Below are 12,202 nucleotides of genomic sequence, written 5' to 3'. Positions count from 1 at the left end.
CCAGTCCTGTAGCCATCCCTCCCTGCACGCAGAAACGGGAGGTGCACCCAGGAAGCCCTGAGGCCTGGGAGACCCATCTCCATGGAGCACCCCACGAGGCAAGCACAGCACTCAGGCTCACCTGGGGCTGTGCCCCCTGACAGGTGTGTGACGTGTGTGAGTGTGAGTGCGAGGTACAAGTGTGGGTACCACCCAGCCCGGCAGGGGGGCGTTAGATACCATTTTATTGGGTATTTACTTAGAGGTATCAAACAAAGTTCCAACAACGAGAAAGTTCAGAATTTCCTCCACTGGGAACAGGCTACGGTGTTGAAATTTCTTTTTTCTTTTCTTTCTTTTTTTTTTTAAGAGGGAGTCTCGTTCTAAAGGCCAGGCTGAAGTGCAGTGGCGCGATCTTGGCTCACTGCAACCTCCACCTCCTAGGTTCAAGCAATTCTCCTGCCTCAGCCCCCTGAGCAGCTGGGATTACAGGTGCCCGCCACCATGCCCAGCTAATTTTTGTATTTTTAGTAGAGACAGGGTTTTACCACGTTGGCCAGGCTGGAGTCTCAAACTCCTGACCTCAGGTGATCTGCCCGCCTCAGCCTCCCAAATTGCTGGGATTACAGGTGTGAGCCACCGCGCCCAGCCCGAAACATTATTTCTAAGTCCCAATTTTCCATTAAACTAGTATCATGTATATCATTCACAAATAACATGTATTTATGAAGCTGGGCACTCTACTGAACACCACAGATGCATGATCTCAGCAAATGCTCACTCTCATCAGACAGGACAGGTACTAATAGTGTTCCCATGTTAAGTTTACAAATAAGAAAATTATGACAGAGAGAACATGAGATTTGGAATATGTGTCTGTGGTTAGTTAAGAGATTTTTTTTTAAGTGTGTGTAGGGAGAAAGAAAAGTGGCAGGTGGCAAATCAATCTTGTTCTAGCTGGACACTAAGAGTCTGCAGTGTTTCTCACACTTTATGTACATACAAGTCACCTGGGTATCTTCATACAATGAGAATTCTGTTTCAAGAGATCTGGTATGGGACTGGAATTCTGCATTTTCTAACAAGTACCCAGGTAATATCTTTCCACTGGTCCTCAGGTCACGCTTTGAGTAGCAAGGTACTAAGGATGAGGACAGAGAAAATCACTTTACATATGAAATTGTGCATAAAGTTTTGCCATGCCTAAAACTTGGGGTCTATGTGATTCCAGGATCTTTCTACAAAGTAGAATATTTCTTGATCACTGCAATGTTCGATATAACTTAAGGAGTAACACATTCACAAGGCAAATTCTACAGAATCATTCACTTCCTTCTGGGCCCTGTGAGCCTCTTGGAGGATGGAAATGTGTCCTAATCATTTCATTATGCCCAGAGCCTCATACATTGTTTGTCATTTACTCAGTGACTAATGAACGCTTGCTGAGAAAGTGCGTCTGTAATCCCGTTAGTTTCCACAAGTGAGATGAAGATGCCAAGTAATCAGGCTACAGACCCTACAATTAGGGCAGGGATAGCAAATATATTTCAACTTCCAACAAATGCAGATAGAGTAGTAATGGCTGCCTCGTGTGCTACGTTGAGTAGAATTCTGAGGCTTCACTGGGGCTCAGTGAAAAAGAGAACCATTGCCAAATCACATATTGATGTGCAACGTGACTTTGGAGGAAAGGAAGGAAACCGCCGGGTGCGATGGCTCATGCCTCTAATCCCAGCAGTTTGGGACGCCAAGGCGGGTGGATCACCTGAGGTCGGGAGTTCGAGACCAGCCTGACCAACATGGAGAAACCCCGTCTCTACTAAAAATACAAAATTAGCCGGGAGTGGTGGCTCATGCCTGTGATCCCAGCTACTCGGGAGGCTAAGACAGGAGAATCGCTTGAACCTGGGAGGCAGAGGTTGCGGTGAGCTGAGATCGCACCACTGTACTCCTGCCTGCGCAACAAGAGCAAAACTCCATCTCAAAAAAAAAAAAAAAACAAATGAAACCACATGTATTTGCTACCATTTCTAGGTTAGGAACAAAAGGAGGTAAATAGTGCATCTAGATCTTCTCTGTAACATAAATAATGAAGTCATAATTAAGGAGTATTAGCTCTTTAATACAATAAAACATTTTTAATGTTTGTAAGAACTACAAGCCTAAATCTACTCGGGTGCCTTCTCAATAAAATTTACCAAATTCCACATTTCTACTTCTTTTCTTAGAAAACCCTTTCATCTACTCCTGACTGTCCTGCTTCAGGTCTTTTCCAAGCTCCATTAATTACTTGCACTTTTTCCCTTCTCTTGCTTTACAAATTTGGCGTCTAGAGCTGCCAAAGCCATATCCTAATTTCTTCAGAGATTCTGGATTTGGTGAAAACATTGCAATCTAGCTCCATTGTTTTATTATTCAAACTTTCTTGGCAAGGATCTTATGGATGGATACGTCCGATTAATCTCTGAAACATGAAGCCCTCTTTCAAAGTAGTTTTGCATCTTTTGTTCAAACCACCAGTTATTTTGACAAATTTCCTTAGTCTTCTCTCTGTTTGATGGTAACAACCCTCTGGCATATTCTTTAGGAAGGAGTTGTTAGGACAGTAGTCCCTGAGTTCTCGTAGGATTAAAACTTTTTTTTCGATAACTTTGATACTTGAAAGACAGATGGGCTGGATTTAAAATTCTTGATTCAGATGGTCCTTACCTTTCTTGAAAACATTGTTCCATCCTTGTCTTGCTTTGCACGTAGCTGTTGATAAGGCTGATGCCAATCTAATTTTTTTTTCTTTTTAAGTGACTTGGTATTTTTGACTGGAGGCCCAGAGGTTTGTTTTCTTCCTCCTCTTCCTCCTTATCCTCCTCCTCCTCCTTCTCCCTCATCTTTAACCACAAAGTTTATGAGGATACATCTAGAATTTAATCACGCTGGGTCAATTTTCCCAGATGCATGTAGAAACTTTCAGTATGTAGAGTCACATCTTCTTTTTTCCATAAAGAATTCTTGGATTCTAGTTTTATTTATTTTTCTTTTAGACGAAGTCTTGCTCTGTCACCCAGGCTAGAGCGCAGTGGCACGAACTTGGCTCACTGCAACCTCCACCTCCCGGGATCAAGCGATTCTCCTGCCTCAGCCTCCCAAGTAGCTGGGATTACACGTGCCTGCCACCACGCCCGGCTAATTTTTTGTATTTTTAGTACAGACGGGGTTTCACCATGTTGGCCAGGCTGGTCTCAGACTCCTGACCTCAGGTGATCTGCCCACCTCAGCCTCCCAAAGTGCTGGGATTATGGATGTGAGCCACTGCGCCCAGCCTAGATTGTAGTTTTAAATATTAGTTTTATTCCATCTGCTTGTTCTTCAACTTCAATTTTGTGTGTTGGACTTTCTTTGCCTAGCTTATATATCACTTTTTCTCTGATTCTTTTCACCTCTCTTTATCTCATTTTTGTTGTCTTGAATGGTTTCGTTCCTCTTCTCAATATCCCTTATAATTTTTTTCAGTAGAATCTGAATGGACATCTTGTAATCTCGTCTTCATGCCTGAGATGATTTTTTTTTGTCTTTTTCCTCCATTTCTTTCTGGCATGTCATAATCTTTAATTTTACATTTTCCAGCATTTTGTTTGAGATTTTTCAAATTTCTGGTATTAGGTTTTCTTTCATTTCTTTAAATGCTTGTGCAATTATATTTAGTTCATGTTGGAGGTGGTGTTAACAATTTTCATTTTCTTCATGGTTGTTTTCAGGGAGTATTTCCTTCCTTCGTTTTCTTTTTCCTTTCTTTCTTTTCTTTTTTTTTTTTACATGAAGTTTCGCTCTTGTTGCCCAGGCTGGAGTGCAATGGCGCAATCTTGGCTCACCACAACCTCTGCCTCCCGGGTTCAAGCGATTCTCCTGCCTCATCCTCCCGAGTAGCTGGGATTACAGGCACACGCCACCATGCCCGGCTGATTTTTGTATTTTTAGTAGAGATGGGGTTTCTCCATGTTGGTCAGGATAGTCTTGAACTCCCGACCTCAGGTGATCCACCCGCCTCGGCCTCCCAAAGTGCTGGGATTACAGGCGTGAGCCACCACGCCCGGCAGTTTTCTTTTTATAGCAAATTTTTATGGATGTTTGCTGCCATTTTCTGGTCATTCTTACATCAATTGGATTTTCTTAGACCAGCAAAAATAGGTCTGAAATCCCTTGGGTGCCTCTAAGTTTCTTATTTCAAGAGCACTCTCTTCAGTTGTTCAAGTGCAGTATCTTTGGAAGTAACATCGTTTTTGGTGGGAGCTGGGAGTTAGCTCTGCTGCTTCGGGACATTTATTTCCCCAAGTCTGCGGTACACCTCGTCTCTAGTTACACTGTAGGTGTGGGTTCTGAGTGTTGTTGTTTTTTTTTTTTTGCTTTTTGTTTTGTTTTGTTTTTAGATGGAGTCTCGCTCTATCGCCCAGGCTGGAGTGCAATAACGCGATCTCGGCTCACTGCAACCTCCGCCACCCGGGTTCAAGCGATTCTCCTGCCTCAGCCTCCAGAGTAGCTGGGATTACAGGCATGTGCCGCCACGCCCAGCTAATTTTTCTATTTTTTGTAGAGATGGGGTTTTACCATGTTGGCCAGGCTGGTCTCGAACTCCTGACTTTGTGATCCGCCCACCTCGGCCTCCCAAAGTGCGGGGATTACAGGCGTGAGCCACCGAACCCGGCCTCTGAGTGGTTTTATTTGCTCTCTTTGTTCATCTTCATATACATCAACAGGAGAATGAATAAAGAAATTTGGAAAATAACAGAAATTAAGATTCAGATGACAGTCACTTTGTTTTAATCCAAAGTATTACTTTGCTTACAGAATAATCAAACACTACTTTTAATCAGTACTTTCAATAGTTACAGTGCCTGTCACTTATAGGAATAGGATGAGGCTAAAAATGTTAGGAAAATAAACGCAAACACAGTGAGTATACATCAGATTAATGAACAACAGGATGGCCAAGACAAAAGGTACCGGGCACATCAGCTGCTGACGGACAGCCTGGATTTTGCTGTAGTGCGTAGCTCTGCTCTTACCTGCGAATGTGTCAAAGTTGAAAGTTAGTAAGTCACGGCTCCTTACCTGCAGGAGTTTGAACTACAATGTACCTCTTTTAGAAATGGTACCCTCATCACTCCAGGCAGAGAATATCCTGCTCTTAGAAGATCATTTGGAAGCAAAATTTGCAACCCCCCTAAAAATACAGTTTGGGAATTTGACAATATATCCTGTCAGAGACACATGGGTAAGATAAATCCGGCAGGGGGCGGTGGCTCACGCTTGTAATCCCAGCACTTTGGGAGACCGAAGTGGGTGGATCACATGAGGTCAGGAGTTCAAGACCAGCCTGGCCAACATGGTAAAACCCAGTCTCTACTAAAAAAAATTTTTAAAAATTAGCCAGATATCGTGGCACGTGCCTGTAGTCTGACCTACTAGGGAGGCTGAGACATGTGAATCGCTTGAACCTGGGAGGCGGAGGCTGCAGTGAGCCAAGATTGCATCATTGCACTCCAGCCTGGGCAACAGAACGAGACCCTGTCTCAAAATAAATAAAGAAATACAATAATAATAATAATAATAAATCCCTCTAGCTGGAAGGTAACCTTATTTTCTCTTGTTAAAGCCATCAGGCTACGATTAGGAGTCAGTATCATGCGGTGATTGGAGAATGAACTCTGGAGTCAGGTGACGCTAGGCTCCTGCCTCTGCTCCATCACTACTAGGCGTGCAGCCTCCAGGGGTGAAGCAACCTGCTACATTTCAGCTGCAAAATGAGGGTAACATTATCTCCTCAGATTACTGCGAAGATTAAGTGAGATAATACATGTAAATTACTAAGTGTATCTCCTATATACAGTAAGCACTCAATAATTGTATTTTATTGTTATCAATATTATCATCACTCTTTCCTCTAGTCCTACTTACAACTGCGGAAACTGCCTTTTGTTTTTTTTTTTTTGAGATGGAGTTTTTGCTCTTGTTGCCCAGGGTGGAGTGTGGTGGTGCAATCTCGGCTCACTGCAACCTCCACCTCCCAGTTTCAAGCAATTCTCCTGCCTCAGCCTCCCAAGTAGCTGGGATTACAGGCATGCGCCTCCAGGCCCAGCTAACTTTGTATTTTTAGTAGAGGTGGGATTTCCCCATGTTGGTCAGGCTGGTCTCGAACTCCCGACCTCAGGTGATCCGCCCGCCTGGGCAACTAAGGATACATGGGAAGATACCTGGAGATGCCCCTTGCATGCAAACATCTAGATACAAAGGTGGTGCTAGTTATGGAAATGTACAAGTGCAGGGAATGATCAAAGCTCCTGAAAGAGGGCCCCCTCAGGAGGTGCTGGAACAATAGGGAGAGCAAGGGAGAGTGAATGGAGAAGGCTTCCGATGTCCCAATGTGCTACAGAATCCATGTTATAAGTGGCATGCGTGGGACCCTATTAATACAGGTGGCCTTTGAAGGCAAGTCTAAGAATGTTATATCATTGTTTCCATGAATAAATATAGCCACAGTGTGTTTGTTTTGTTTTGAGACAGAGTTTCGCTCTTGTTGCCCAGGCTGGAGTGCAGAGGCGCAACCTGAGCTCACTGCAACCTCCGCCTCCCGGGTTCAAGCGATTCTCCTGCCTCAGCCTCCTAAGTAGCTGGGATTACAGGTGCCCGCCACCATGCCCGGCTAATTTTTTGTATTTTTAGTAGAGATGGGGTTCCACCATGTTGGCCAGGCTGGTCTCAAACTCCTGACCTCAGGTAATCCACCCACCTCAGCCTCCTAAAGTGCTGGAATCACAGGCGTGAGCCACCACACCCAGCCTCAGAGTGTTTTTTTAATGACTACCAAAAGGTTTTTGGAAAATAACCCAAATATAACAGTCTGATACATTTAGTGGCTCAGGAAACAGTGAGTCTAATACTGTAACTGTGTTCTTCCCTTCTCCTATCATTACAAGTTTTAAATTCCACACTCCAGAGCAAAGCAGGGAGCAAGCTCAGAGGGTAGTATCTCTGCCCGTGAGGAATCCACATGACAGACAACCATGGTCAAGGGCGGTGTGACAGGGGTGGGAAGAAACAAGAGAGGCCAATGATGGCGAAGAGGACGGAGGCCGCAGCCTTAGGCCCAGATGCAGAGGTGCCAGTGGGTTTCCATGTTACACTGGCTTACCCCATCAACCTGTGCTACATCACATGGGAAGTTTTGTTACACTGCTAATTTTAGCAACATTATAGACTTGAAATCCTCTGGCTGTGGAAGGAAGGGGAATTTCTTTCTGGACCTTCCAGGTAAGCAAATCCTGGCTTAATCCAGTTTTCCTTCCTTTCTGATCTGCCCACGTTTCAGCTCAACCAGACAGACACACACGCCTCTCCGCAACTGGATCTGGGTAATAATGTCACCTGGTACTGAAAAGGGAGCTGTTCCTCAAAAATGCCAAAAAACGACATAGGACTGGCCCGTGCTAGGGGTGGACTGAGTGAATGGTGCACCATTCCCTGTGGGTCATTCGAAACAAGCTGCCTGTCTTTCAAGAATCTGAAAGATGCTGCCTGACAAAGCAGGACCGTGGCACTGGATGTCCGTGAGGGTGCCTGAAGAAAAGTGGAAATAAGCTGGTTTCACTTAGGCAAAGGGCAAGCCCACTGAGCTTTCTTACAGCAAATTAGAAGCTTAAGCCCAGGAACCAGAATGAACATCACTGTGATCATGACTGGCAGCACATGATTCTGCCATCATACCCTTTTCGTTCCCAAACTCAAAGAGATGCATCTGGCCAGGTGCGGTGGCTTATGCCTATAATCCCAGCACTTTGGGAGGCCGAGGCGGGTGGATCACCTGAGGTCGGGAGTTTGAGACCAGCCTGACCAACATGGAGAAACCCCATCTCTACTAAAAATACAAAATTAGCCGGGCGTGGTGGTGCATGCCTGTAATCCCAGCTACTCAGGAGGCTGAGGCAGGAGAATCGCTTAGAACCTGGGAAAAGGAGGTTGCAGGGAGCCGAGATCGCGCCATTGCACTCTAGCCTGGGCAACTAAGAGCAAAACTGTGTGTACAAAAAAACAAAAAAAAAAAGAGGTGCACCCTCCACAAGAATACAGACTGAGGGCTGAGATGCCCAACACAAATGCGGCAAAGAGAGAAACCTCATGCCTTGATGGTGGGAAAGACTTAGCGTTCAGTCTCTGCTGGGACAAGGGAATAAGACAATGCACAGCTGGCTCTCTGCAACCTGAGAAGGCCAGCTGATCCACAGGCCCCAAGTTCACGTCCTCGTTTGCAGTTTCATCTCTTTCACGATCAGGGGACTTTAGGTGGAAGTGCTGTCACTGGTGGACGACTCTTCCCCACTGGATTCCAGATCTTCCCCACTTTGCCCACCTTCCTGCAGGTCATGAGGGCCCTGAGCTCAGCACTGCTGCTGCCCCTCGTGGGGAACGCTGCTGACTGCATGGATCGTTGTGAAGATGAAGCGAGATCATGGACATCAATCACTAAGCACAATTTCCTGCACACAGTAAGCACTCAACAATTGCTCTATTTTGTTTCTAACATGATGTGCTCAGTGAAACGCAAAACAAATTTGCCAAGAGTTTGTTCCCTTAATCCTGAACCCCCTGTGCATTTTAAGGGAAGCCAGACCATATGGTTCAGATTTCACTCACAAATAAATCAGCATGACGTTTGATCAGTAAAAGCTGTTTTATGCTATTGTTTTTATGGGCCTTTTTATCCCAAGCACTAAAATAATAATAATAATAAAACCTAGTTGTGTTTTGCTAAGGGTAAATAAACTCGGGCTCAAACCCTTCCATCCCTACGGACCGAGGAAAGGGGAATGCCTCTGATTATAGCCAAATGAGTCCTCTCTGGCCTCCAGCCACCTGCACAGGACTTGGAAGACGAGGGAAGAACCCCTAGCAAGGAAAGCCAGAAATGTGGATGGGTGAGGGTAGCCCCACAGAAAAGGAGTCACTGACTCCCAACAGGAATCATTACATGGCAGGAGCAATAGGCTCATTCCTCTTCTCTGACACGGCCGGTGTAAGCATCCGACGCATGTTTTCTCCATCAGCCCTCCTGCAGAGGGCCATCGACTGCTCTTTGCAGGAATCTGCAGCCTCAGCAGACTTAGATACACAGAGATTGGACAGGAAAGTACAGCCTGTGGCCATGTTGTTAGCCACAGATACTAATACTATGGGAAATAGTTTCCTATGGCAAAGGGCACCCCCAGGACCCTTCTCCTTGGTTTAAACAACAGCGCTTTAACTGGCCCTTCACCAGGTACACATCTGGCTATGCAGGACTCTCCCACCCAAGGTTACTGCCACCTCAAGTCCTGTGGGTATCAGTCCCCAGCTTTGCTTTTTACACAGTAGTATCTCATCTCTATGAATTCTGAAATTGTGTGTTTTGCTGTTGTAAATTTGTAAAAAGGCTATTATAGTCTCAGACATTGTGGTAGAAGTGTAAAATGGTGTAAACTACCTTGGAAACTCATCTGGAAGTTTTTGTGGTTGGAGAATATAGAGAAAACTCAGCCTCACACAGATATGAAGTAGGAATATGAAGAACTATTTTAATAGCCTTTTCAGATAATTATGGCTATTCATCTTTGATACAAACCAAAACTTTAAAAGTGGTAGTTTCTTAAAGGTTAGTTGCAATATGGGCCCTGAAACCGTTATCAGTAAACTTTTTCTACTCCACTACATGGAAATCCATTGGTCTACGCCACAGTTGGAATGGAACTTTTACCTGTGTATAACTGTATAATATCCTACACAGGTCATTTAGAAAATAATTATTCAGTGAGTTATACATATCTTGCAAATGTTGATGCATGTCATTATGTTTTTAAATCATATGTCAATATCACCACCAATCTTGTCAGAAAAATTGTTAGTTATTGGGAAGCTCTCAAGTTCATGGTGACAAATACAAGTTTTCAAAAATTCTAATTCTTCCTTGCAAGTTCAAGTTGTATCAATAGCAACAAATGCTGTCAGCTGTTTCCCTTGAAGTGACAGCTTCACTGCCACATACGCAAACCTGAATAACTGTAGTTGGTCAGTTGCTCTTCCAGGTAAAAATGGTGTTCCATGAGAAAAGCAGCTAGCTTGGCTGGCAACTCAAACAACTGCGTATACGCCCTTCCTGAAGACAATCGTGCTACTACGGTGGAGTGGAAGTGCTTTATGAGGACCTTCCATTACATCATACAGAATTTTTTTTTTTTTTCTTTGAGACGGAGTTTTGCTCTTGTTGCCCAGGCTGGAGTGCAGTGGCGCAATCTTGGCTCACCGCAACCTCCGCCTCCCAGGTTCAAGCGATTCTCCTGCCTCAGCCTCCCCAGTAGCTGGGATTACAGGCACGCGCCACCACACCCGGCTAATTTTTGTATTTTTAGTAGAGACAGGGTTTGTCCCTATTGGTCAGGCTGGTCTCGAACTCCCGACCTCAGGTGATCCACCCGCCTCAGCCTCCCAAAGTGCTGGGATTACAGACGTGAGCCACTGCACCCGGCCATCATACAGAATATTAAAAGAACATGTATTCAGGGGCTGAGATTTAAAAAGATGCACATCTGTTCTGCTTCACCCAGGGCATTTTTAAGTGATGCTGACTCCTTTTTCTGTAAGTTGGTGGTGATGAAGAACACACTGACAAAGGTACAGTTTGGTGCTACTGCCTCAATTTACCCACCGTTACCTTTGCACCATCTACGTACATGTCAGCACAGTGTAGAGGAGAAAAATGTCTCAGAATTATAATGAAAATAGCTGTGACATATGGGACCCCCTGAAGGAGTGTTGGAGAACCTAAGAGGTCTGCAGAACACACTTGCAGAACTGCTGTGCTATGGAGTGAAAGAAGTCTCAGACAAAGCGTGCATCTGTTGTTATTCCATTTATATGCAATTCTAAAACACACAAAACTATGAGAACCACTGTTCTAACTTTTTTCTATGGTGGAAAAAAAATAGAATAATTGTTGCCTCCTGGGGAAAGGAGGCTGAAAGGCTTGACTGGAGACGAGTTAAGGGGGATTTTCTAAGCCAATGGTAAGGTCCTCTGTCCTGACAGGAGTCTGGGTTACACAGGTGCATGCCCTGACCAAAGCTCAGTGAATGTACCCTTAAGACTTCTGCATTTCATTGCATGTACATTTCACATCAAAAGAAAAACACTGTAAATAAATATGGAAATCTAGTTAATGATATACATACTTAAATATGTAGGAGGAAGTATACCAGTGAATCCAGGTTTCTCTGAAATGTATCAGAAAATAAGATGGATTCCAGCAGGGGTTCTCAGCTTCAGCACTGCTGCAATCTGGGGCTAGCTGATTCTCTGTGGTGGGGGCTTGCCATGTGGAATGCAGGCTGTGACCAGCGTCCCTGGCCTCTACCCACACCAGATGTCAGTAGTACCCTATCCCAGCTGTAACAACTAAAACTGTCTCCAAACACTGTCAGATATTCCTGGGGGGCAAAATCACCCCAAGCTGAGGACTGCTGAATTAGAGGGAATAATGAATGAGTATGTGAGAAAGCAAACATAACAAAGTGTGAAAGGGATAAACAAGATGATGGGCATACAGGTACTCACGAGAAAATTCTTTCAGTTTTACTGAATGTTTGAAATTTTTCATATTAAAACATTGGGTTAAGAAAGGCTATTGTGTATTAAGTAACGTTTTTTGCACTTAATATTATATTGTAAAGTTTAGCCATAGGATTATATGTCATTACAATTTGTCGATTTGGGGGTATTGTTTTTAAAATTTTTGAAAATTTTGTGTGAAAAACTCTATTGTTTATCCACTCTCAATATGCAACATTTGGGTTGTTTCAAGGTTTTGCTGTGGTGCTGCTATGAATATTCTTGTACAAGTAATCTGTAATTCAACCTCAGGCTCATTTATTGATTTTGCTTCCCTTCTGTCGTATTTTAATAAGGCTGCTCTATTTTGAGATTAGATAAAAATTCACCTATATTTTCTTCTAGTTCTTTCAGAGTTTCATTTTCTACAATTAATTGTGTAAGCCTCTAGAGTATACGTTAGTGTTTTTGTTTGTTTGTTTGTTTTTGAGATGGAGTCTCACTCTAGTCACCCAGGCTGGAGGGCAATGGTACGATCTCGACACACTGCAACCTCCGCCTCCCGGGTTTAAGCGATTCTCCTGCCTCAGCCTCCCAA

General features: G+C 44.1%; 1 protein-coding gene and 1 long non-coding RNA gene across 2 annotated transcripts in view; one reads left to right on the top strand and one right to left on the bottom strand.

Annotated features, from left to right (window-relative positions):
- Positions 1–12,202, bottom strand: part of KIF26B (kinesin family member 26B) — a 554,448-nt gene that overhangs the window by 474,903 nt on the left and 67,343 nt on the right. The gene's annotated exons all lie outside the window — the stretch shown is intronic.
- The window catches only part of KIF26B-AS1 (KIF26B antisense RNA 1), a 28,074-nt gene continuing 15,884 nt past the window's right edge, over positions 13–12,202 (top strand). The window contains exons 1-2 of the long non-coding RNA NR_151721.1: positions 13–143; positions 8,388–8,513. This is a non-coding gene — a long non-coding RNA (KIF26B antisense RNA 1). The remainder of the gene's footprint in view (positions 144–8,387; positions 8,514–12,202) is intronic.

The sequence above is a fragment of the Homo sapiens genome, chromosome 1 (assembly GCF_000001405.40).
Source record: "Homo sapiens chromosome 1, GRCh38.p14 Primary Assembly".
Taxonomy (NCBI): domain Eukaryota; kingdom Metazoa; phylum Chordata; class Mammalia; order Primates; family Hominidae; genus Homo; species Homo sapiens.
The sequence above is the reverse complement of the archived record's forward strand: the minus strand, read 5'-3'. Positions and strand labels throughout refer to the sequence as shown.